The sequence below is a fragment of the Homo sapiens genome, chromosome 12 (genome assembly GCF_000001405.40).
Source record: "Homo sapiens chromosome 12, GRCh38.p14 Primary Assembly".
NCBI classification, from domain to species: domain Eukaryota; kingdom Metazoa; phylum Chordata; class Mammalia; order Primates; family Hominidae; genus Homo; species Homo sapiens.
Window position 1 is genome coordinate 121,146,371 of NC_000012.12, and position 26,094 is coordinate 121,172,464.

General features: G+C 46.8%; 1 protein-coding gene and 1 long non-coding RNA gene across 17 annotated transcripts in view, besides 1 other annotated feature; one reads left to right on the top strand and one right to left on the bottom strand.

The window, feature by feature from the left end:
* Nucleotides 1-26,094, bottom strand: part of LOC105370032 (uncharacterized) — an 84,641-nt gene that overhangs the window by 20,939 nt on the left and 37,608 nt on the right. For 3 of the 4 annotated variants that reach the window (XR_945459.4, XR_945460.4, XR_001749353.3), the window contains exon 3: nucleotides 15,833-16,047. The exons of the other annotated variant lie outside the window; for it this stretch is intronic. This is a non-coding gene — a long non-coding RNA (uncharacterized LOC105370032). Of the gene's footprint in view, nucleotides 1-15,832; nucleotides 16,048-26,094 lie in introns of those variants that run through there. 4 annotated transcript variants of the gene reach the window in all.
* P2RX7 (purinergic receptor P2X 7) overlaps nucleotides 1-26,094 on the top strand; it is a 55,157-nt gene that overhangs the window by 13,495 nt on the left and 15,568 nt on the right. For 2 of the 13 annotated variants that reach the window (NR_033948.2, NR_033949.2), the window contains exons 2-9: nucleotides 8,415-8,583; nucleotides 8,866-9,004; nucleotides 9,709-9,777; nucleotides 14,532-14,604; nucleotides 16,054-16,150; nucleotides 18,987-19,067; nucleotides 19,688-19,817; nucleotides 21,118-21,254. Coding sequence is in view for 4 of the 13 variants with exons in the window: in NM_002562.6 (NP_002553.3) it covers nucleotides 8,415-8,583; nucleotides 9,709-9,777; nucleotides 14,532-14,604; nucleotides 16,054-16,150; nucleotides 18,987-19,067; nucleotides 19,688-19,817; nucleotides 21,118-21,254 (756 nt within the window). In the remaining 9 variants the exon portion in view is untranslated. Of the gene's footprint in view, nucleotides 1-8,414; nucleotides 8,584-8,865; nucleotides 9,005-9,708; nucleotides 9,778-14,531; nucleotides 14,605-15,900; nucleotides 16,151-18,986; nucleotides 19,068-19,687; nucleotides 19,818-21,117; nucleotides 21,255-26,094 lie in introns of all 13 variants that reach the window. The other 11 variants (NR_033951.2, NM_002562.6, NR_033953.2 and 8 more) reach the window with 9 other exon arrangements.
* Nucleotides 9,422-9,923: an enhancer, noted in NCBI's record as "NANOG hESC enhancer chr12:121593595-121594096 (GRCh37/hg19 assembly coordinates)". NCBI's record gives its function as "activates a minimal SCP1, AML or CMV promoter by ChIP-STARR-seq in naive H9 embryonic stem cells {active_cell/tissue: H9 hESC(naive)}" and the evidence as "EXISTENCE:reporter gene assay evidence [ECO:0000049][PMID:30033119]".

Below are 26,094 nucleotides of genomic sequence, written 5' to 3' on the forward strand. Positions count from 1 at the left end.
CAACCTCTGCCTCCTGGTTTCAAGTGATTCTCCTGCCTCAGCCTCCTGAATGCTGGGATTACAGGCATACATCGCCATGCCTGGTTAATTTTTGTATTTTTAGTAGAGACGGGGTTTCACCATGTTGGCCAGGCTGGTCTTGAACTCCTGACCTCCAGTGATCCCCCTGCCTCAGCTTCCCAAAGTGCTGGGATTACAGCGTGAGCCACTGAGCCGGGCCAAGCCCCTCTGAAGAGGCAGTGTGCACACTCTTGCTTTGCTGATAGAAGCATGAAATGGTTCAAGTTTTTGTGATTTGGGAAAATGAACTCAGCTATAAAATGTGCACACCCAGAAGTTGTCCTATGGACTTAATGTCTTAGGGGTGAGAAGAAGCTTGTGCAGGGATTCCTGGCAACATGAATGCGGGATGGACAGACAGTGAGCACAGTGTTGAGGAGCACAGCCTGAGTGCATCTCCCTGAGATCAGGAACAGGACAAGGATGCCCGCTTTCACCGCTGCTGTTCGACATTGTACTGGAAGTTCTAGCCAGAGCAATTAGGCAAGAAAAAGCAATAAAAGGCATCCAGATTGTAAAGGATGAAGTAAAACTATCTTTAGTCACAGGTGGCACAATCCCATATAGGGAGAATCCCAAAGAATTCACAAGAAAACTGTTAGAGCAAATAAACTAATTCAGTCAAGTTGCAAGGAACAAGATCAACCACAAAAATTAATTGTGTGGGTTTTTTTTACACCAGCAATGAACATTTGAAAAGGAAATTCGAAAAAGTATTCCATTCACTGTAGCATTTAAGAAAGCTGAGGCTGTGAAGCTACATGGCTGTGTTTGGAGCTGGTGCTGCTATTTACCATGTGACCTTGGACAAGCTTCTCACTTCATTCATGACACCGTTTATTCAGCTATTAAGTGGGGGTAATAATAGTACCTTCCTTATAGAGTTGGTTTTTTGTTTTTGTTTTTGTTTTTGGTGGGGGAGAGTAAGGATTGCAAGAGTTAATATATGTTAGCAAAATGGACTTAGAAGAGTGGTTGGCACATGGTAAGGACTATATTAGGGTTACCAAAAAATGTTTATAATTGGGAAAATTGAACAAAGGTTCCAGTAAATATCCATCCCAGAGGCTGGTTGACAAATTATCACAATGTACCTTTTAGCTTGAACCATATGGAACTGCCTATATTCTATAGCTATGGCCTACAAAATGCAAAATGGGCAGTTTTTTTTGTTGTTGTTTGTTTGTTTGTTTGTTTGTCTTGAGACAGTCTCAGTCTGTCACCAGGCTGAAGTGCAGTGGCACGATCTTGGCTCACTGCAACCTCTGCCTCCCAGGTTCAAGCGATTCTCCTGCCTCAGCCTCCCAAGTAGCTGGGATTACAGGTGTGCACCACCACGCCCAGCTAATTTTTGTATTTTTAGTAGAGATGGGGTTTCCACCATGTTGGCCAGGCGGGTCTTGAACTCCTGGCCTCAATTAATCTGCCTGCCTCGGCCTCCCAGAGTTCTGGGATTACATGAGTGAGCCACCGAGCCCAGCCAAAATGGGCCGTTTCATATGTTCAATTTAAACACTAAGATACTCTTTAGCCACTGAAAATGACTGTGTATCATAGATCTATCTTTATCACAGATCTATCTTTACTGTCATAGAAAGAACTAATAACATATTATTGAACAAAAATAACAAGTTACAAAACAGCTTGCAGCCACGTTTGTAACATCAGTATATCTATTTGTGTGTCTAGGTGTGGACATAAAGAGATATCTAGAAGACACTCCCATTGCCTATGGGAATGACTTGGGCTGGGATCTTTTTTATTTATTTATTTATTTATTTATTTATTTATTTATTTATTTTGAGACAGAGTCTCACTCTGTCACCCAGGCTGGAGTGCAATGGCATGATCTTGGCTCACTGCAACCTCCGCCTCCCAGGTTCAAACGATTCTCCCACCTCAGCCTCCCAAGTAGCTGGAATTATAGGCACCCATCACCGCACCTAGCTAATTTTTGCCTTTTTAGTAGAAATGGGGTTTCGCCATGTTGCCCAGGCTGGTCTCAAACTCTTGATCTCAAATTATCCACCTGCCTCAGCCTCCCAAAGTGCTGGAATTACAGGCGTGAGTCACCGCACCCAGCTGTGATCTTAATTTATATTTTTTCTTTTTAACCCTTGATTTTTACCCTGTTTGACTGACTTTAGGAGTCTGACCCCCAAAACTGCAAAAGAATAAATTAGTGTTGTTGAAAGCCACTAAGTTTGTGGTAATTTGTTAGAGCAACAACCAGAAACTAATACAATCGGGATTAAACTTGCCCTGGGGGTGCTGGCTCTCCCCCACTTTCTTCTCAGAGCATCTCTTGGGTCCTCGCCCCTTGCTGAGCCCCCACCATGGCCGGGTGGACCAGCGATGGACCTGATCGGATTCTCCTCTTGGGATTTTAAATAAGAGATGCAGAGGCTGCACGCCAAGCTTCTCTGTGCCGCACTGCAGGCACAGTCCTGGCGCTACTGTTCTTTAGGGGTCCATGAAGATGTTTGTTGGCCTGGCTTAGGTGTGAGCTAAGAGATACAAGGGATACACTTTGGAGGCTCAGCCCTTTGATGTTACCTTTGCGCTGGAAGCCCAGGGGCTGTAAGACGGAGAGGAACTTTGCTGAAAGGGAGGTCCTCCCTGCAGAGCTTGAAGAGCAATCTAACCATGCTGGCATGGGGCCCATCCCACCTGTGATGCCAGTGTAAGTCTGTGACAGTCACTCATATTCAGAGCATGTGGATTGAGACTCTGAAGAACGACTTTATGGTGGGCACCTTCATCTCCATCTGGTGGGTCCAGAGCAAGCAGCCTCAGGGTCCCATGGGCCCAACCTCACCCTCCATCCTTATTTCCCTGCCACTCCAGGGCTCCTCCTCAGCCAGACTTGCCTGTGAGTGCCCCTTGATGGCTGTATTAGTCTGTTCTCACGCTGCTAATAAAGACATACCCAAGACCAGGTAATTTATAAAGGAAAGAGGTTTAATGGGCCCACAGTTCCACATGGCTGGGAAGGCCTCACAATCATGGCAGAGGGCGAAAGGCATGTCTTACATGGTGGCAGGCAAAAAGTGAATGACAACCAAGCAAAAGAAGAAACCTCTTATAAAACCATCAGATCCCATGAGACTTACTCACTATCACGAGAACAGTATGGGGGAAACTGCCCCCATGATTCAATTATCTCCCACCAGGTCCCTCCCACAACACATGGAAATTATGGGAGCTATAATTCAAGATGAAATTTGGATGGGGACACAGCCAAACCATATCAGTGGCCCTGGCTTCTCTCCCATTAGCTCTGTTCTACTTCCCAAAATCTTTCCAGCTTTGTTCTTTTTTAGAGACTGGAGTCTCACTGTGTTGCCCAGGCTTGTCTTGAACTCCTGGGCTCAAGGGATCCTCCTACCTCGGTCTAACAAGTAGCTGCGAATATAGGTGCACACCACCACACCCCCACAACTTACCCATCCTCCCCGGCTCAGTGAAATCCCTAGGTCCTTCACACTCCCGTTAGCTCCAGGTACCAGCGGCTTTGCCTTCTACAGAATGCATAACATTATAGCCTCTTAGAGCAAAAAGGTCATGGGGATGGGGAAGGCTGGGAGTTCTCTCTTCATTCAGGGATTAAACCTACCACCTGGAGGGGTGACATGGCTCACCTTAGTCACCAAGCAAGGTCGGGAGAGTATTTCTGGGATGGTCATTAGCACTTTCTTTCCAAAGGGAGGATACTACAAACTCACTTTCATGATCACAGTATCCCCCCCGACAGGTAAAGTGTGCAAACTCGCTTTCATTCCCTTTTTGTCTTTGACGCAGCTCTGAAGCATTTTAATTCTTAAAATTTACATGTTCATGATGACACAGAGACAGGTTTTCTGTTTAGGAGAGGGCCTGATTCCATTAAGGCTGATCGATCATATGTTGCACATTCTGGGATAAATATGAGAGATCAGAATTGAGCTTCCCAAATGGTGGGTCACATGACCCAGTGTTGTTCCAGGAGAACGTTGCAACATCCAGCATGAGAAAGCGCTGCATGCACCATGTATGTGTTGGGATGCTGGGCTGAAATGTATTAATGAGCAAGTGTTATCATATTTGTCTATGGAATTCTATTTAATAGCTATGTCTCGTATGTGCTGATTGGGTCTCAAATCTGGGTATCTTACCCCAACATCTTTCTTGAAAATCCTTCTTTTTAAATAAATGTTGGCCGTGTGCACTGGCTTATGCCTGTAATCCCAACACTTTGGGAGGCCAAGGCGGGTGGATCACCTGAGGTCAGGAGTTCAAGACCAGCCTGACCAACATGGAGAAACCCCATCTTTACTAAAAATACAAAAATTAGCTGGGCACGATGGTGGATGCCTGTAATCCCAGCTACTTGGGAGGCTGAGGCAGGAGAATCACTTGAACCTGGGAGGCGGAGGTTGCAGTAAGCTGAGATCGCGCCATTGCACTCCAGCCTTGGCAACAGAGTGAGACTCCGTCTCAAATAAGTAATAAATAAATGTTATAGAAATACTAAAGTGTATTGTGCATAATATAACACCCACGTACCACCATCCAACTTAAGAAATAAAGCATTACTAATCCAGTTTTGCTCCCTGCAAACTCATCCTTCATCCCATTCTCTTTCCTTTTGCTTTATAAACATCCTGCAGCCAGGCACAGTGGCTGCACCTGCAGCCTGAGCTACTTGGGAGGCTGAGATGGGAGGATCACTTGAGCCCAGGAGTTTGTGGCTGTCGTGTGCTGATTGCACCTGTGAAATAGCCACTGTGTTCCAGCATGGGCAACATAGCAAGACTCCATCTCTAAATGAAATCCTTTTTTTTTTTTTTCTTTTTGAGACAGAGTCTCACTCTATCACCCAGGCTGGAGTGCAGTGGCGCCATCTCGGCTCACTGCAACCTCCGTCTCCAGGGTTCCTGCCTCAGCCTCCGGAGTAGCTGGGACTACAGGCACATGCCACCACAACTGGCTAATTTTTGTATTTTTAGTAGAGACGGGGTTTGGCCAGGTTGGTTTCGAACCCAGGACCTCAGATGATCCACCTGCCTCGGCCTCCCAAAGATTACAGGCATGAGCCACCATGCCCAGCCTAAAAGAAATCCTGAATTTGACATTTTTAATTCCCTTGTTTGTTTTAATATTTCTACAGCACATATATGTCTACATATATAAAAAATATAATTTTTTATTGGGGTGAAATTCACATAACGTAAAATTAACCACTGTAAACATGAACAATTCAGTGGCATTTAGGACATTCATAGTACTGTGCAACCACCACCTCTATCTAGCTCCAGAACATTTTCATCACCCCAAAAGGACACTCCATGCCCCCCAGGAGTCACTCCCCATTTCTTCCCACTCTGTCCCCTGCAACGACCAATCTACTCTCTGTCTCTGTGGATTCACCTATTCTGGATATTTCATATAAATGGAATCATACAATATGTGGCCTTTTGTGACTGGTCTCTTTGACTTAGCTGGGTGTGGTGGCACGAGCTACCCACCTACTTGGGAGGCTGAGGCAGGAGAATCGCTTGAACTCCAGCCATAAATTATATTGTTTTCAAGGTTCATCAATATTACTCGCCCAGGCTGGAGTGCAGTAATGTGACCTTGGCCCCCTGCAACCTCCACCTCCCCGGTTCAAAGGATTCTCCTGCCTCACCCTCCCGAGTAGTTGGGATTACAGGCGCACACCACCACACCCGGCTAATTTTTTGTATTTTTAGTAGAGAGAGGGTTTCACCATGTTGGTCATGCTGGTCCTGAACTCCTAATCTCAAGTGATCCACCCACCTTGGCCTCCCAAAATGCTGAGATTACAGGTGTGAGACACTATGTCAGGCCTAGTCAATTCATTTTCACTGCTGCAAAGCATCTCATTTTAAAAAATTATTTTATTATTATTTTTTTGAGACAGGGTCTCACTCTGTTGCCCAGGCTGGAGTACAGGGGTGCAATCACAGCTTACTATAGCCTTGACCTCCCGGGCCCAAGCAATCCTCCCACTGTGGCCTCCAGAGTAGCTGGGACTACAGGCATGTGCCACCACACACAGCTAATTTTTGTTCTTTGTTTTTTGTTTTGTTTTGTTTTGTTTTTTGAGATGGAGCTTTGTTCTTGTTGCCCAGGCTGGAGTGCAGTGGCGCGATCTCAGCTCACCACAACCTCCATCTCCCAGGTTCAAGCGATTCTCCTGCCTCAGCCTCCCGAATAGGTGGGATTACAGGCTCACGCCACCGTACCCAGTTAATTTTTATTTTTAGTAGAGATGAGGTTTCACCATATTGGCCAGGATGGCCTCAAACTCCTGACCTCAGGTGATCCATCCGCCTTGGCATCCCAAAGTTCTGGGATTACAGGCGTGAGCCACTGTGCCTGGCTCAAAGCATCTCATTGTATGAATCCAACAATTTATTTATCCATTCGTTGTTTGAGTACATGTAGGTTATTTCCTGCTTTCCCTCTTACAAGCAATGCTGCAGAAACATTCTTGTCCATAGCTCCTCCGGCACATGTACAAGAGCTTCTCTAGGGCACAAATGTAAGAGTTTTATTGCTGGGCCATGGGGAATGCTCTTCTTCAAATGTACTTGCTATTGTCAAATCTGAGCTATCTTTTCAGGAGCCTACTACTGGTTCTCAGCCCTGGCTATGCATTAGAATCACTTGGGAACTTTAAAAAAATATGTGGGTATCTGGATAACTCCCCCGACCCGTGGAATCCTAGTCTCCAGGGATGGGACTGGGGACTTGAAAGCTCCCTGGGTGATTACACAGCCAAGGTGGAGAACAGCTGGGACTGAGTCTTGGCCCACTCTGTCTCAGCTTCCCAAGGTCAGCTCATAGAGGGCAGCCATCATCTTAGACTTGCTAATATCACTCAGCAGCTGAGCAGATAGAAGGGACTAAATAAATAAAGTCTGAATGAGTAAATAAAGCATTTAAAACAAACCCTTTAGGGCTGGGTGTGGTGGCTCACACCTGTAATCCCAGCACTTTGGGAGGCCAAGGTGGGTGGATCCCTTGAGGTTGGGCATTCAAGACCAGCCTGACCAACATGGCGAAACCTTGTCTCTACTAAAAATACAAAAATTAGCAAAGTGTGGTGGTACGCGCCTGTAATCCCAGCTACTCGGAAGGCTGAGGCAGGAGAATCACTTGAACCCGGCAGGCAGAAGTTGCAGTGAGCTGAGATGGAGTCACTGCACTCCAGCCCGGGCTACAGAGCAAGACTCCATCTCAAAAAAACATAATAAAACAAACCCTTTAGGCTGGGTGCGGTGGCGCATGCCGGTAATCCTGGTAACTATCTCCTACTGTTGTGACGATTAAAGGAGATGGTGCATGCAGAGTACTTGGCACATATGAAGTGCTCAATAAAGAGTAACTCCTGCAGCCTGGTGTGGTGGCCCACACCTGTAACCACAACATGTTGGGAGGCTCAACATGTTGGCAGGAGGATTGCTTGAGGCCAAGGGTTTGAGACCAGCCTGGGCAACATAAAGAGACCCCCGTCTCTATAAAAAATAATAAAAACTAGCTGAGCATGGTGATACATGCCTGTAGTTCCAGCTACTCAGGAGGCTGAGGTGGGAGGATCAACTTGAGCTCGGGAGTTGGAGGCTGCAGTGAGCTACGATCACGCCACTGCCCTCCAGCCTGGGCAACAGAGCAAGGCCCTTTCTCTGGAATAAAAAAAAAAGAGAGGCTGGGCGCAGTGGCTCACACCTGTAATCCCAGCTACTTGGGAGGCTGAGGCAGGAGAATCACTTGAACCTGGGAGGTGGAAGTTGCAGTGAGCCAAGATCGCACCATTGCACTCCAGTCTGGGCAACAAGAGCAAAACTCTGTTTCAAAAAAAAAAAAAGAGAGAGAGAGAGAGTAGCTGCCATTTTCAATGTTATTGATAAAGCAGGTGGGTGTTTCTGAAAATGCACCAGATGCAGCCTTAGACTGGAAGGTGCTGATGTGTTACTGAGCCTCCAGACAAAGCTGGCGAACCCACCGGGGCGAGACTTTATGACTTGAGAAGCTGTCCTATCTATGAGGGTCCATGTTAGGGAATATTAAAGAATAGGATTGGGGGCAGTAGCTTTCCTGTAGCAAGTGCTAGCTATGTGCCAGATACTGGGCAAAGGAGTCTGCAGACGTCTCTCATTTCATCCTCACAATCCATGAGGCAGGTATGACTATTCTTCCCATTATCCAGAGAGGGAAAACAAGTCACACGGAAGCAAGTCACGCAGCAGAGCTAGGATTGGAACAGAAGTGCCTGCATCCTCCAACGCCTGCATCCCAACCCGCTGTGCTATGCCTCCCGTTGATGCTTTCCCATGTCTGCCATTTAGCTTTGCTCTGGTGAGTGACAAGCTGTACCAGCGGAAAGAGCCTGTCATCAGTTCTGTGCACACCAAGGTGAAGGGGATAGCAGAGGTGAAAGAGGAGATCGTGGAGAATGGAGTGAAGAAGTTGGTGCACAGTGTCTTTGACACCGCAGACTACACCTTCCCTTTGCAGGTGAGCACCTCGTAGCATTCTCCCAGGCTCGTCGCTGGTCACCGTCGCCAGGGCCTAGCTCCCTTCCCCTAGGATCTACAGCCTCACTCCAGAAAAAACGCTGGTCCTATTTTAAAAGCTCTGTGAACATCCCAACTGAGAAAACCTAAAAATTGCAAAACTGGGTGAGATCCAGGAGATGATTCTTTGCTTTATCAAGTCCTACAGGGTTTCTCAAAATAGCCTCATGTCCTGGTGCATTGAAAACAGGATTTGATTCACTCGCGCTTGATTTACCCGCAGCTTTTTAGACGCACAGCCACCAAGCCAGCAAGGTCTGCCGAGATTCAGAAGGACAGAGAACTTTCTACCAAAGAGCACCAGCCCTTCTAGATTGTGTAGCATTTCATCAACAAAAATGACTCCAGGAGACCATTCTTGGGTACATTTTTCCACAAAGAAAGGATGTAAATGACAAAAAGAAGAAAGGCATCGGTCACTGAGAGAAGGCGTGTGACTTCTAGATTTGCAAGCAGGGAAAATGAAAGCAGAATTGCCAAAAAAGAGAAATTAAAGTAGGGTTGAGGAGTCCAAAAAACAGATAAGGGGGCGAGAGGGACAAAGGGGCACGTTTGCGGCTTGGGGAGCTAAAATGCTTTGCAAAGACCCATGAAGCCCAAGCTGCTGTTTGTTTCTAACAGTGGGTCATTAAAATCCTGTGATTGCTCAGGTGGTGGGATGCCCTAGTGCCCTTTCATTAAAGTCTGGGAAAATCTGAACAGTGTTGTGATGAAGGCTGCTCCCCTACCCTCGCCTCCCCAGGTCTCCTGAGTTTCAATTTAATGAGATTTTTACTGCGTAAAAAAAAAACAAAAACAAAAACAAAAACATGAAAAGGCTGCTTTTGAGACTGCATTGGTAAATGACTCTTCAACCCATTCAAACGCTCCTTCACTCTCCCTCAGCTCAGCAGGGCTGCTCGTCCAGCTTTGATATTAAGCCCTTGGCATATTCCAAGTTGCCCACAGATCCTGATTTCTAGAAGCTTAGAAAAGTGGAGAGGTTCGCCCAGCAAGCTGGATTATTATAATTAAGTAGTTCTCTTTTCAAAGGCCTTGCATTTTCTTAGCCTCTCCTTCTCCACAGGGGAACTCTTTCTTCGTGATGACAAACTTTCTCAAAACAGAAGGCCAAGAGCAGCGGTTGTGTCCCGAGGTAAGGAGGGGACCTGGAGTGGTGGGTCAGGTCTTAAGAGTTCCTGGGGGAGGTGCAAGTCGGAAGAAGCAGAAATGCGGACCCTGGGGTGTATTTGAGCCCACAGATATCTACTGAGCACCTGCCTCTTTTGTGGGGTAGGGCTGGGCTGAGTGGAGGAAGGGAGAGAACACATGGCAGTGTCTCTCCATGGCCACCAGATCTTTGTCTGCCTGCCTCGGTCTCTGGTTCTAGCACTAGGGACCCGTGCAGACGGCAACCCTGCTCTTTCTATCTCTGGCTCTCTTCGCAGCTTATGACAATGGTGATTCTTGGCATTTGCACAACATTTCACATTTTACTTGAGGCTCACAATGACTTTAGGAGAAAAATGGCATTTTACAAACCAGAACACAGATTCAGAGATGTTGTGACTTCCCCCAGGGTCACACAGCTTGCTGCAGGCAGAGCCAGGGTTAGGACCTGAGTGTCCTCACTCACAGCTTCTCCTACCATGGTTCACAGTGAACTGTCTGCAGGGCTGGTCTTGGAAAACCCTGGCACACAGCTCTCTTGCTCATTCATCCACTTCTTAGAGTCTCAGCCTCTCCATCACGTGCATGTGCCCCCATGACTCCCTGCCACCACCCCAGACAATCTTTCCCAACTTGGCTTTGCTCTCTCCAAAGAGCCGCCTCTTTCTGGAAGAGCTTCTTCCCTATCAAATCATATTTGTTTTATTCTGGGCTAGGCATGGTGGCTCACACCTATAATCTCAGCACTTTGGGAGGCCAAGGCAGGAGGATCACTGGAGCCCAGGAGTTCAAGACCAGCCTGGGCAACATAGTGAGACCTTGTCTCTAAAAACAAAACAAAACAAAAACTGTATTTGTCCTATTCTTTACCTCACCATCCTGCTCTCTCCTCTTAAACCAGCTTTTCTTCTAAGTTTATCTATACCAGCGTGTTACTGCTAGGCATTACCTGTAACTCCCAACCTCCCAGCCTCCCCTCTCAGGTAACGTAACTGTGCTGTACCAGGGACCATTTCCAACACTGACCGTTGCAGCAGCGCTGGTGATACCCAGCCAGATCCTCCACTGATGAGCAGGACCAGCCCTGCCGGTGGAGTTTTGCTCACGGGCCCACTCTGGCAACAAGGTCTAGCTTCCTGAGTGTCCAGGACCTCTGGGCAAAAGTGCTGTCTTTGAGTACAGTCTTTGCCATCATTTGTACCCAAATTCAGAACCAAGATAACATTCCCTTGGTGTCTATCTTGATAACACTCCGTCTAAAAGGAGAGCTTTCTACATTTGTTTTGTCCTCATCACCCCTTAACTGTCCCTGCTGCTCAGATGAAATCTCTGACAGCCAGGCCAGCCAAGCCCTCCCTTCTGTCTCCCTTCCCAGCAGTGTTCCGTCTCCAATCCAGTTTGGGGGCCTGTTTCCCTTTTGTCCCATCCTTTGGTCATCTCTACACCACACTCTACCTCCATGTACACATAAAGACACTTTTGGACTTATTGAGACTTGGAAGAAAAAGAGTTAGGATAGCCCAGAGATTAAGAGCCTGGGCTCAGAAGCTAGACCGCTAAAGGTTCAAAACTTAAACTTCTTAACTCTGTGACCTCAGGCAGGTGACTCTTCACCTCTCTGTGCCAAGTTGTGTGCATCTGTAAAATGGGGCTGAGAACAAAACCTAGCTGTTCGGATTATTGAAACAAATGAGTGAATACCTGTGACACGCTTAAAACAAGGCATGGTACATTATAAGCACTCAATGAATGTCAGTTGTTATGATTCAAATGACATGTTACTCCTCAGATAGGATGTCACTCAGAGTGACTGGAACCCAACAGGTTCCATCGAAGCACTTCCAGCCCAGAGAGCACATGTGACTCTTTGGGATTTTAACTTATGCTCCAGGCTGGTTTGGGCTGGTCTAATTGGGCATTTGCCTCCTCTCTGCCCATCAACACCCCTCTATCTCGGGTTGTCTCGGTAAATATGACCAAGTTCCAGTTACACACCAACATGAATAGATATTTGCTCCATTTATCTGTGGCTGCAAAACAAACTACCCTGATCATGGTGGGCTTAACACAAGCATTTTATTAACTCTCACAGTTCAGTGGTTGACTGAGTTCAGCTGGTTGGTTCTTCTGCTGGTCTCACTAGGGATCTCTCAAGGAGCTGCAGTCAGATGGCAGCTGGGGTTGGCATCCCTTGGAGCCTCAATTGGCACCCAGGGATAGCTAGACATCTCTTCCTCTCTGGGAACCCCTAAGAGTTACCCTCTCTTCAAGGTCTGTCCGCATTGTCTCTCCAGCAGGGTAGTCAAACTTTCTAATAGTGGCTCAGGTTCCTCAAAACAAAACAAAAAAATAGAAGCTTCCAGGCCTTCTTAAGGCTTAGGCCTGGAACTGGCAACAGCATTCCTTCTGCTGCTTCTATTGGCTTTGCAGTCACAGCACAGGCTCAGCTTCAGAAAGTAGGGGAAACACTCCACCTCTCAATGGAGAAAGTGACCAAGAATTTGTGGCCATCTTTAATCCATGCAACAATCACAAAAGAGAAGATTAAAACAAAACTAATGTGCTGTTTTTTAAAAAAAAAATTAGAATTCCTTTTGGAGAGCAAAATAAAACTGATTTCTCTTCTTTCCTGAGATTCATCTCCAGTTGATAATGAAAATGTAACTTTCCATGAGCCACAATGAATGATCACACATTCATTCCTTCCATGACTATCAAGACCTACTATTTGCCAGGCACTTGGGCTGCAAAGATATGACCTTGGCTCTGTATTCAAAGGGTTCATAATCTAATCTGGGGAGTCACAAGGGGAGGAGACCAACGGCATGCCATGTGACAAGGCAGCCTGGGAAATAAAGAGATCATGAGAGAGTTTGAAAACTACAAGAAACATTCATTGAGCATGTACTATGTGCTAAACCCTTTCTTTTCATAACTCACTTAATCTTCACAACAACCAGGCAAGACAATTTGTTGGCTGGGCATGATGGCTCACGCCTATAATCCCAGCACTTTGGGAGGTCGAGGCAGGCAGATCATGAGGTCAGGAGTTCAAGACCAGCCTGGCCAAGATGGGGAAACACCGTCTCTACTAAAAATACAAAAATTAGCCAGGCATGGTGGTGCGTGCCTGTAATCCCAGCTACTCAGGAGGCTGAGGCAGGAGAATTGCCTGAACTCAGGAGGTGGAGGTTACAGTGAGCCAAGATCACACCATTGCACTCTAGCCTGGTCGACAGAGCAAGACTCTGTCTCCAAAAAAAAAAAAAAAAAAAAAAAGACAAATCTGTTCACCCTGCTTTTACAGATGAACAGTGAGCTGGCCAAGGTCTCTCAGCTAGAAAATGGTGCAGCTACTGCTGAACCAGATATACCTGGGTCCAAGACCTAGGTCCTTGACCTGAATCACTGTAGAAGCCACAAATTGCACAGATGACAAAGAGCAGAGGCCATTTTCACACCTATGTCATGTTCTGGCTTCCCCAAGACTGGCCATGAAGCCTGCTCCCTAGAAAACAGGAAGAGAAATATGCATAAACCAGGGCAGCTCATTTCTCTCTTCCGTGTTCTGTCCTTCAGCCCTGAGACCCAGCTGGTCTCATTTTCTTGGGCCAGGCGAGTGTCCTGGCCAATGTCTCTCAGTTCCATGTGTCCTGCTGAGTCTCCGCACCTGTTTGCCCTGCTCAGTCCTTTCAGCCACAGGGCCACTTGGACCAAGCCACCTGTCCCCCATCCCAGCCAGCATCCCTGAAAGTGATCCCTAGCTTCCCAGACCTCTGCTTTTCCCATTTTTATTTATTTGTATTGGGATATAATTCACATACCATAAACCCCACCATTTTAAAGTGTACATACGGTTCAGTGGTTTTTAGTATAATCACAGAGTTGTGCAACCATCACCACCGTCTAATTCCAGAATATTTTCTTCCTTCTTTCTTTCTTTTTTTTTCCTTTCTTTCTTTCTTTTTCTTTCTTTCTTCCTTCCTTCCTTTCTTTCTTTTTTTAGGTGGAGTTTTGCTCTTGTCACCCAGGCTGGAGTGCAGTGACGCAATCTCAGCTCACTGCAACCTCCACCTCCCAGGTTCAAGTGATTCTCCTGCCTCAGCCCCCCTAGTAGCTGGGATTACAGGCGCACACCACCACATCTGATAATTTTTGTATTTTTAGTAGAGACGGGGTTTCACCATGTTGAGCAGGCTGGTCTCAGACTCCTGACCTCAGGTGATCTGCCCGCCTTGGCCTCCCAAAGTGCTGGGATTACAGGCGTGATAAGCCACGGCGCCCAGCCCCCAGAACATTTTCATCACCTACAAAGGAAACCCCAAATCCAGTAGCAGTCACTCCCCATTCTCCCCTTCCCCTGTCCCTGGCCACAGTCTACTTTCTGTCTCTATAGATGCCTATTCTGGACATTTCCTATAAATAGAATTGTATATGGTGTGGCCTTTTGTGTCTGTCTTCTTTCACTCAGCATCATGTTCTCCAGGTCCATCCATGTTGTAGCCTGTGTCATTGCTTCATCCTTCTTATGGCTAAATAAGATTCTGTGTATGAATGTACCACATTTTATTTGTCCATTCATCCGTCAGTGGCCACTTGCGTGGTTTCCACTTTTTTGGCGATTCTGAGTAGTGCTGCTATAAGCATTCGTGTGCACATTCTGGTGGATATCGAATCACTTCTCCACGTCTTAGTAACACACGTCACTTACTCCCCACTCTGTCATCCTTCTATCTGCAGTATCCCACCCGCAGGACGCTCTGTTCCTCTGACCGAGGTTGTAAAAAGGGATGGATGGACCCGCAGAGCAAAGGTACCTTCTGTTTCTTTTCCCGAGACCCTAGGGGTGGATGGTCTGGCATCTTGGTGACATTTGTGATGCCCAGGTCAGGTCTTCAGCCTCTGCTCTCAGCTGCCCTCTTCCACCATCACCAAGCCATAGGCGAGTCTGCCCATGCTTCGGCTCTGTCCCCAGCAGACCAGCTGCTGACTGTAAACATGACTCCAGTTTTCCAGTGAGAGAAGAAGCTCCTAAAAACCTAGCAGGTTCAGGATTCTAATCGGTAGAAAATTCACATGGCCTATAGCATCATCTGAGTATTCTAAACTTTCCCCCTGAATTTCCTCAAAGGTTGAGGACCATGAACTTTTACCCCCAGGGAACCTGGCAGCAATACCCATATTAACCTGCAGAATTTTTTTTGTTTTTTATTTTATTTTATTTTTTAAACATTTTTTGCACTGTTTTATTTTGATTTTGATTTTGATTTTATTTATATCTAAGTGCAGTGCTATTGCGATACCTGCAGAATTTCTTTATCTCACATTTTAACTTAAAAAGGCACAGGGCAGCGAGCGCAGAGGCTGGTGCCTGTAATCCCAGCACTTTGGGAGGGTGAGGCAGATGGATGCTTGAGGTCAGGGGTTCGAGAACAGCCTGGAAAACATGGTGAAACCCCGTCTCTACTAAAAATACAAAAATCAGCCAGACATGGTGGCACACGCTTATAATCCCAGCTACTTGGGAGGCTGAGACGTGAGAATCACTTGAACCTGGAAGGCAGAGGTTGCAGTGAGCCAAGATCATGCCACTGCACTCCAGCATGGGTGACAGAGCGAGACCCCTTTAAAAAAAAAAAAAAAGGCACAGGGCAATTTTAAAAATACTGCAAATAGTAAAAAAAAAAAAATCAGTGGTTATAATGCAAACACACACAAAAAGGCATATGCCCATTACTGCATTCTACTCCATACTGTATGTGTATTTGAGTTAGTATAAAAGTTATTTTAACATTGCTCACTATTTAATTAATTCTCCCTTGGAAACTGATTAATCATCCTGGCACTCCAGGAAGATGTGCCATGCTGATTTCATGGCTTTGCACATCCTGGGCAGGCTGTGTACCCCTTGAGGGACTTGTGCCCCTTTGAGAGGCCATGTTCTAGTCCATTTATACTAAGTGAGAGCATACACCTGTTCCGCTCCCCTCATGGGCACCTTTTCTTATAAAGAAACAAAAGAGCCAGCAGAATCCACAGTCTTTCTGTGTTCTCTCTGATCTTTATTATGTTTTGCTTGTTTGCCTTGCCTTGTGTTCGTTGTGGTTAGGATGGGCTTGATGGAAGCTGAAGCTGCGTGGGTTGGAAAGCCTGGTCAAAGCCTAGTCTCTCGCCCGGGTTGAGTTAATGATGTCCCTCCTGGAGAACGTCCTCTCCGCAGTTCTTTCACATCTGTGGTTCTACGATGCTTTGACCCCTATAGGAATTCAGACCGGAAGGTGTGTAGTGTATGAAGGGAACCAGAAGACCTGTGAAGTCTCTGCCTGGTGCCCCATCGAGGCAGTGGAAGAGGCCCCCCGGTGAGTCGCATGGGGAGACAGACACAGTGGCCCTCAGCGGCGACCAGATGAGGCCTTGCCGAGGCTGCTTGGGCCTTCCCCTCTCAGCACAGCCCTGCAAAGTCCTGGGTCCTACCGGCTTGGGGACCCCTGCGCTCTGGATGCACTGCTTGGCACAAACTAGTATCTCTGGGAGGGCCATGGTGGTTGGTAAACTGTTGTAACACTCCTGTACCAACTGGTAAATAGCTACTACCCTGAGCATCCTTGGGTGTCCCTGGCCCCTTCCTTCCCCCAGATCTTCCAGGGTACCCCCAGACCCCCTCCTGTAGTGCCACAGCAGGATCCCTTCTGACTTGTCAGTGTCCATACTGAGTGATCAAGGATAGGAAGGAAGGAGGGAGATGGAAGGGAAGGACGAAGCGAGGAAAGAGAAGGGGAAGGGGAGGAAAAAGCAAAAGGGGTGAGGGTAAAAGAGGGGGGGAAGGAAGTTTTCTCAGATTAAATGCTTACAATGACATACAGATTTGGTGGTCCCTTGTATTGATGCTTCGCTTCAATACACAAAGTCACAATGTTAAATCTCAGAAGCCACAAGGGCTGATGTATTTCAGCAGAGAATAGTTAGAAAGACCTGGATTCAATTCCTAGCTCTAACACCATTTTGCTGTGTGTCCTTGGGAAAATGGCTTAACCTCTCTGAGTTTCAGTGTCCTCACCTGTAAAAGCAGAATAATAATTTCACCAACTTCATAGGGCTGTTGTAAGGATTAAATGAGATGATACTTGTACAGTTATTGTAAGGTAAGCCCCATGCATGCCTGGCTTACACACACACACACACACACACACACACACGCACACACACACACACACACAATCTACCCCTAGAAGTGTGGTGGTTCTAGACCAGCACTGTCCAATTGAACTTGATGCAGTGATGGAAATTTCTGTATCTGTGCTGTCCAATAGGGCAGCTACTAGGTACATGTGGCTATTGAGTACATGAAATGCGACTACTGAATTTTTGAAAGAGATGATAGATGATAGATAGAAAGATAGATAGATAGATAAATAGATAATAGATAGATAGACAGGTAGATAGATAGATAGATAGATAGATAGATAGATAGATAGATAGATAGATAGAGTTTTGCTATGTTGCCCAGGCTGGTTTTGAACTCCTGGGCTCAAGCGATCCTCCTGCCTTGGCCTCCCAAAGTGCTGGGGTTACAGGTTTGAGCCATTGCTCCCAGCCTGAATTTTTAATTAAATTTAAATTTAAATAGCCACACATGTCTAGTGGCTACCATATTGGACAGCGCAGTTCTAGACCGATGTGATTCAGGATCATTCCCTCAGCATCGTGGGGCAAAGAGAAAACTGCCCCAAGCTGGCCTGTAGAAGGCTCAGGCGAAGGTTTCCCAATGCCGGGATGGGGGGTGCGCTCAGCAGCATCACCCCTTATGATTCTCAATCGCTAATAGCTCCACTCAGGTTCATTTCTCGGTCAGGGGCATTTCTTTGTCACAGAAGGAATCACCCAGCTCTGGGAGATACAGCAGCCTCCACTCAGGTAGTCCTTGTTCAAGACAAGCGGCCCTTGACTGACTGCAGTTTCAGTTCCAGCTCTGCTATCAACTCACTCATTAAATAAACTGCATCTCCAGTGTGCCTGCCTCTGGGCTGGATTTTGACGTGACCTGGGCAAGCAACTCCCTGAACTTCAGTTTCTCATATATTATATGAATTAGCTAAGATGGTTCGTTTAATCATTCATTCAACACATCCATCACCACGTAGTAGGTGTTAGATATTTATTTCATACGTAACTACGCATAAGAGACTTTGCTAAGTTTTAGGTAAAATACAAGTCCCAGATACGGAGCAAGTCTCAACCACTGTACATACCTGAATGTGTAATTACATCACTGTGAGAGGTGCCACAGTAAATGCCACTGGGTCTTGTGTTAGTCCATTCTCACACAAAGAACTACCTAGCCAGGTGCGGTGGCTCACGCCTGTAATCCCAACACTTTGGCAGGCTGAGGCAGGCGGATCACTTGAGGTCAGGAGTTCGATACCAGCCTGGCAAACATGGTGAAACCCCATCTCTACTAAAAAATGCATAAATTAGCCAGGTGTGGTGGCACACGCCTGTAATCCCGGCTACTCGGGAGGCTGAGGCAGGAGAGTCGCTTGAACCCGGGAGGTGGAGGTTGCAGTGACCCAAGATCGCGCCACTGCACTCCAGCCTGGGTGACAGAGTGAGACTCCATCTCAGAAAAAAATAAAAATAAAAATAAAGAACTACCTGAGACCAAATACTTTACGAAAAAAAAGAGGTTTAATTGACTCACAGCTCCACAGGCTTAACAGGAAGCCTCAGGAGACTTACAATCATGGCAGAAGGCGAAGGGGAAGCAAACACATCTTACCATGATGGAGCAGGAGGCGGGTTTCGGGGGATGTGCCGCACACTTTTAAATGATCAGATCTCGTGAGAACTCACTCACTATCACAAGAACAGCAAGGAGGAAGTCCGCCCCCATGATTCAGTCACCTCCCACCAGGCCCCTCCTCTGGCACATGGGGATTACAATTCAAGATGAGATTTGGGTGGGGACACAGAGCCAAACCATATCAGATCTCAAGAAGGGAGAAATTCTTCTTGGAGGAGCTGGAGGGGCTTTGTGGAGAGTTTCAGAATGCTTTGCCCACTAGGTTTGCTGTATCCATTTCTCTTCATGTATCCCAAAGACCAAGCCAAGAAACCAGAAGCCTCTGGTCCCACTGGCCCATGGGCTCCCTCGGTTCCCCCCGTCACTAATGGCCATTTTGCATGTCTCTCTCCCAGGCCTGCTCTCTTGAACAGTGCCGAAAACTTCACTGTGCTCATCAAGAACAATATCGACTTCCCCGGCCACAACTACACCACGTAAGTGCCCAGGCTGCCTGGCTGTCTTAGTTATCTACTGCTGAGTAATAAATTATCCCAAACCTCAGAAGCCTGAAACAACAAACGCCTATTGTCTCCCACGGTTTCTGTGGGTCAGGAATCTGGGAATGACTTTGCTGCGTGGTTCTGGCTCAAGGTCTGTCAGGTTGTAGCCAAGCTGTCAACCAGGGCTGCAGTCATTTCTAGGCTTGACTGGGGCTGGAGAACACTTTTCCAAGCTCTCACACAGTTGCTCGTGGGAGAGCTCAGTTCCTCACCACGTGAACCTCGCCCTAGACCACTTGAGTATCCTTGGTATATGGTGGCTGGCTTCTCCCAGAGCAAGTGACCCAAGAGAGACAGAGCAAGCAACCAAGAGTATAACCAAGATGGAAGCCACAGTCTTTGGGGGGAGACCCCAACACTTCTGCCATATGCCATTGGTCACACAGATCAACCCTGGTCCAGTGTGAGAGGCCACTGCCCAGGGGTCCCAGGAGGCAGTGATCATTTGGGGCTTTCATGGAACCTCTCCACCACACTGGCTCACTCCTGGGAAAGAGACAGATCTGTTTTCAATCGAGATGTTTGTTTGTTTGTTTGCTTTTAATTATGCACAGGAGAAACATCCTGCCAGGTTTAAACATCACTTGTACCTTCCACAAGACTCAGAATCCACAGTGTCCCATTTTCCGACTAGGAGACATCTTCCGAGAAACAGGCGATAATTTTTCAGATGTGGCAATTCAGGTTGGTGGTGCTTTGTACACTGGGATGTGGGGCTGTGTGTCTAGGGATGGAGGATGTCAAACAGCCAAGAGGCCGGGCCACTGGGTCTTCATAATGTGGCTCACATTTACTGAGCATTTAGTAAATCCACCCGCTACGCTAAGGACTTTACCTACCATACCTCGTCAAATCCCAAAACAATCCTTATGAGTGAGAGCTACTTGGTGTATTCCTTTCCTGTGGCTGCTGTAGCAAGTTATCAAAGCTTAGTGGCTTCAAAGAACACATATTTGCTTATGTTGCCAGAGATCAGAAGTTGGAGATGATTTTCCCTGAGCCAGGGCAGTGCTCCCTCCGGGACTTTAAGGGAGAATCCAGTTCCTCAGCTTTTCCACCTTCTGGAGCTGCATTCCTTGCATTTCTTCAAAGCCAGCAGCATAACATCTTGCCTCAGTGGCCACTTTCACTCCCTATCCTGTGTCCAATCTCCCTTTGCCTCTGTCTTACAAAGAGAGAGAGCATTTACAAGAGGGGGCATTTAAGGACCAACTGGATAATCCAGGATAATCTCCCATCTCAAGATCCTTCATTTAGGCTGGGCACGGTGGCTCATGCCTGTAATCCCAGCACTTTGGGAGGCTGAGGTGGGTGGATCACCTGAGGTCAGGAGTTCAACACCAGCCTGGCCAACATGGTGAAAGCCCATCTTTACTAAAAATACAAAAAAAAAAAAAAAATAGCCGGGCATGATTGCAGGCTCCTGTAATCCCAGCTACTCGGGAGGCTGAGACAGGAGAATCGCTTGAACCTGGGAGGCAGAGGTTGCAGTGAGCCGAGATCGCACCACTGCACTCCAGCCTAGGTGACAAGAGCGAAACTCCATCTCAAAAAAAAAAAAAAAAATCCTTCATGTATTCGCATCTGCAAAGAGCTTTCCCTAGGGGAGTACTAGGAGGTAAAGCAGAAAAGATATTTGATAGAGTGCCCTGAATTCCAGTCTAATAAGTTTGGACTTGATCTTTAATGGGGGCGTGGGGGGCATTAAAGGTGTTTGGGTACAGGAGTGGTCTGTTGAAAGTTGTATTTTAGGACAATGAGTTTAACGGTGATGTGTCCCAGACGGGGGTAGGGAGAGTGAGGAGATGCGATTGTGGCTGCCACAATAACACTTGTGCGAGTTAGGTGGGGCTGTACATATGGTTCTTCAATCAGCATTTTTCCTCTAAAAACCTTAAGCAATCCTGGCTATGCAGGGAGATGTCTGGCGGTTGCGTAACTCACACCCAGCAGCCATAGAGACTGTCCCTTGTTGATCCTTCAGGGCGGAATAATGGGCATTGAGATCTACTGGGACTGCAACCTAGACCGTTGGTTCCATCACTGCCGTCCCAAATACAGTTTCCGTCGCCTTGACGACAAGACCACCAACGTGTCCTTGTACCCTGGCTACAACTTCAGGTAACTCCAAGGCCCAGGTCAAACTCACCCAGTGGCTGAATCGCATTCCCAGGAACTGGTGAGACTAATTTTGGTTTCCAAGGCAACAAGATGAATGAAAAAAGACTTTCTCTAAGAACTAGGTGATAACTGAATTTTTTCCATAATTTTTTAAAATTCTCAAAAGAGATGCACACTCTTTATTTTTTACTTATTTTTTTTTTTTTGAAATGGAGTCTCACTCTGTCACCCAGGCTGAAGTGCAGTGGCGCCATCTCAGTCACTGCAAACTTCCGCCTCCCAGGTTCAAGCGACTCTCCTGCCTCAGCCTCCCAAGTAGCTGAGATTATAGGCGGATGCACACTGTTTATAAAACAAAACTATTGGGAAACAGAAAAGCATAGAGGGGGATCAAAATCACCCATAATTCCCCTACCCTGAAATAATCAATAACAACCCTCGGGGGAATTTTCCTCATCTGTACCAATTATTTCATACAGCTCCTATGAGATAATAGCATATATATATATATCTTGTGGTATTCTGCGGGGTTTTTCATACCACAGCCACTCAAAATTCTTTGTAACCATCACATTAATGATCATAACATTCCATTTTGTAGGTGAACAAATAACAACTGCTACAATTCAGGCAGTGTTTTCTTTTCTTTTCTTTTCTTTTTTTTTTTTAGATGGAGTCACACTCTGCTTGCCCAGGCTGGAGTGCAGTGGCATGATCTCAGCTCACTGCAACCTCTGCCTCCTAGGTCCAAGCGATCCTCCCACCTCCCAAGTTTCTGGGACCACAGGCATGTGCCACCACACCCAGCTAATTTTTGTATATTCAGTAGAGATGGGGTTTCACTGTGTTGGCCAGTCTGGTCTCGAACTCTTGACCTCAAGTGATCTTCCCGCCTTGGCTTCCCAAAGTGCTAGGATTACAGGCATGAGCCACTGTGCCTGGCCCAAGGAGGGTTTTCCATATACCAAGCACTCCCCGTCGCCATCCCTAAATCTCCCAACAACCCTGGAAGGAAGATATTGTTTCTGGAAGATGATTTGCCCAAGACCCACAGCTGATAGTACATGTTGCATAATTCTAACCCACGTCACTCTGACCCCACACTCACACTCCATCCCTTCCTTCCCATCTCATGATTTTCTCACCTACGCCTCCATGATTGAATATTTGAGTTGCTTCCAGTTTTTCTATTACAAGTAACCACAGTGTGCATCTTTGCACATAAACTTCTCTTTGAATTCCAGGTTACTTCCTTAGGATAAATTTCTAGACTTATTGAATCAAAGGTTGTGAACATTTTATCATATGCTTTTTATTTTTAAAAATATCTATAGTTATAATGTTTCATTTTTTTTTCTGAGACAGAGTCTCACTCTGTCACCCAGGTTGGAGTGGACCGGGTGCAATTATAGCTCACTGCAACCTCTGCCTCCCAGGCCCAAGTGATCCTCCCACCTCAGCCTCCTGAGTAGCTAGGACTACAGGTGCACGCCACCATGCCCAGCTAATTTTTAAAATTTTTTTGTAGAGTCGGGGTCTCACTATATTGCCCAGGCTGGTCTCAAACTCCTGGCTCAAGCAATCCGCCTGCCTTGGCCTCCTAAAGCGTTGGGATTGCAGGTGTAAGCCACTGCACCTGGCCTATAATTTTCATTTCTAGGATTTTTATTTGGTGCTTTTTCAAAGTCATCTATTATTGTTCCAGTGAGTCCCATTCTTACCTTAAGGATCCTACTCCTTCTGTCCATTCTACTGTATCATTCCTTTCATACCGACCTATTATCTGAAGTAACTTGGGTGGGAGTTCTCCTCGTGGGCTTTGAAATACTGTCTTCAGTAGAAAAGATCTTATGCAAAGTTCTGCATGTGCTGTGTGTTATGGAGTATTCCTTATATATTACTCAAAGCAGCTCCATAAACTGGCAGGCAGCCCCTTAAATGTGTTTCTGTTTCTGTTTTTTTGTTTTTTGGTCTGCATGATGTTTTAAAACTTGAGACAGGCCAGGTGCGGTGGCTTATGCCTGTAATCCCAGCACTTTGGGAGGCCAAGGTGGGAGGATCACTTGAACCCGGGGGTTTGAGGCTAGCCTGGGCAACATAGGGAGACCCCATCTCTACAAATAATAATTTTTAAAACATCAGCCAGGTGTGGGGGCATGCACCTCTGGTCCCAGCTACTCAGGAGGCTGAGGCAGGAGGATTGCTTGAACCTGGGAGGTGGAGGCTGCAGTGAACCGTGGTTGTGCCACTGCACTCCAGCCTGGGTGACAGAGTGAGACCCTTACATGGTGGCCACTGGCTGGAGCTGAGTATCAGTGGTCCTATTTAGAAAGGGGCTGGGCTTTCTGGTTCATCACTGTCCCCGCCACTCCTTAGTGCTTATACCTGGCCCACATCACTCATTTCTGTCATCTGCCTGGCCCCTGTGTAGACGTTTGAGTTTGAAACCCTTGACTCAAAGGCGGGCTGATGCTTTTTGCTTCCTCTGGATCAATGGAATTTCATCCAAGGCAATGGAACCAGCTCCTAATTGTGATAACTTTTTGATCATCCCCTGCCGCTGTGCTGAATAGGCTTATGGCCATTAAGAAGAGAGGACAGGATGAATGGTCCCCTGACTGACTGCCCTTCCAGGGTGTTTTTTTAGCTGTCAGCAGAAGCATGCGGGGCAGTGTACCAATCAGGTGTCAGCAAGTGTCCTTCCAGCGACTGAGTTGAGCACAAAAACATCTGCTCCTGGAGAGACCTGAGCCCTCTGAAGGCCTCAGCCAGTTATGATGTTAATGTTCTTTTAGAACAAAGTGGTAGAGCATTTGTTGTCTGGAATGAGCACCAGAAGAAATCTCTGGCCAAAAATAAATTGTTGAGGGCCGGGAGCAGTGGCTTATGCCTGTAATCCCAACACTTTGGGAGGCCGAAGCAGGAGGATCACCTGAGGTCAGGAGTTCGAGACCAGCCTGGCCAACATGGTGAAACCCTGTCTCTCCTAAAAATACAAAAATTAGCTGGACGTGGTGACAGGTGCCTGTAATACAGCTACTGGGAGGCTGAGGCAGGGAGAACTGCTTGAACCCGGAAGGTGGAGGTTGCAGTGAGCCGGGGTCATGCCACTTCACTCCAGCCTGGGCGACAGAGCAAAGCTCTGTCTTTAAAAACAACTTAAATAAATAAATAAATTGTTGAGGTCTGATGAGTAAGTGGACAAGTTATTTTCCAGCAGACACACAAAAGAGAAGGAAATTACAGGTTATACGAGGTATTTCAGAAAATATAACTTTCTAAAACATAGGAAGTTGAAGAAGTTGATCACATTACAGAATTCTGTTGTTTAGAAAATGACCTGTGGCGAAATGTCCTTATTCAGTGAATAGGTGATTCCGCTTATGCACGACCTGTGTGAAGTGGATCAGGCCACCCAGAATGCACGACGCGCTTCTCAGGCCCAGCAGGAGTATGTGTCTGTGTTAATTTCCTGTGGCTGTTATGACTAATTGCCACAAATGTGGTGGCTTAAAACAACAGAAATTAATCTTCTTATAGTTCTGGAAGCCAGAAGTTTGGAATCAAGATGTCAGCAGGGCCACACTCGCTCTGATGCTCTACGGGAGGGTCCTCTCTTGCCTCTTCCAGCGTCTGGTGGCTCCAGGCATTCCATAACTTTATAGCAGCGTCCCACAAATCTCTGCCTCCATCCTCACATGGCCTTCTCCACTGTGTCTCTATGTCTTCAATCTCTTTTTTTTTTTTTTTTTTTTTTGAGGCAGGGTTTCACTCCAGTCTCCTAGACTGAAGTGCAATGGCGTAATTTCGGGTCACTGCAACCTCTGCCTCCCGGGCTCAAGCGATTTGATCTCTCCTTTATCTTATAAAGATACTAGTCATTGGATTTGGGGCTTACCCTAAATCCAGGATAATCTCATCTTGAGATGTTTAACTTAATTATATCTGCAAACACTGTATTTCCAAATAAGGTCATATCACAGCCACTAGGGATTAGATACTTGAACATATCTTATTTGGGGGCTCAACCCATTCCAGTGTACGAAAAACACTCTTGTTCAAGGCCCGATGTTTCTCAGGGCATAGCCCACTGACTACCTGCATCAGAATAATCACTTGGTACCTGTACTGGAAATACAGACTCCTAGAAACATCTCAGAGCTTCTGCAACCACTCTTTGAGTGAGGGGCTCAGGAGTCTGCCTCTGAACACACTCACCCCAAGTGATTCTTTCTTTCTTTTTTTTTTTTTTTTTGAGATGGAGTCTTGCTCTGTCCCCCAGGCTGGAGTGCAGTGGCGTGATCTCGGCTCACTGCAAGCTCCGCCTCCCGGGTTCACACGATTCTCTTGCCTCAGCCTCCCGAGTAGCTGGGACTACAGGTGCCCGCCACCACACCCGGCTAATTTTTTGCATTTTTAGTACAGACGGGGTTTCACCATGTTAGCCAGGATGGTCTCGATCTCCTGACCTCGTGATCTGCCTGCCTCGGCCTCCCAAAGTGCTGGGATTACAGGCGTGAGCCACTGCGCCCAGCCATCACCCCAAGTGATTCTTGCCTTCAGTTTAAGAGCCACTGTAACAAGACTCTGGAAGCAGAAATTCACGTGCTTACTACACAATGTTAACCTTCCCAGGCAAACCAACTCACATAGGGAGATAATGCCAATCCCAGGGCAGGCAGTGGCAATGCATGCTTGCTTGCGAATTAAAAAACAAATCACTGCCTGGGCACGTTGGCTCATGCCTATAATCCCAACAATTTGGGAGGCTGAGGTGGGTGCATCACTTGAGCTCAGGAGTTCAAGCCAGCCTGGGCAACACAGTGAGACCATCATCTCT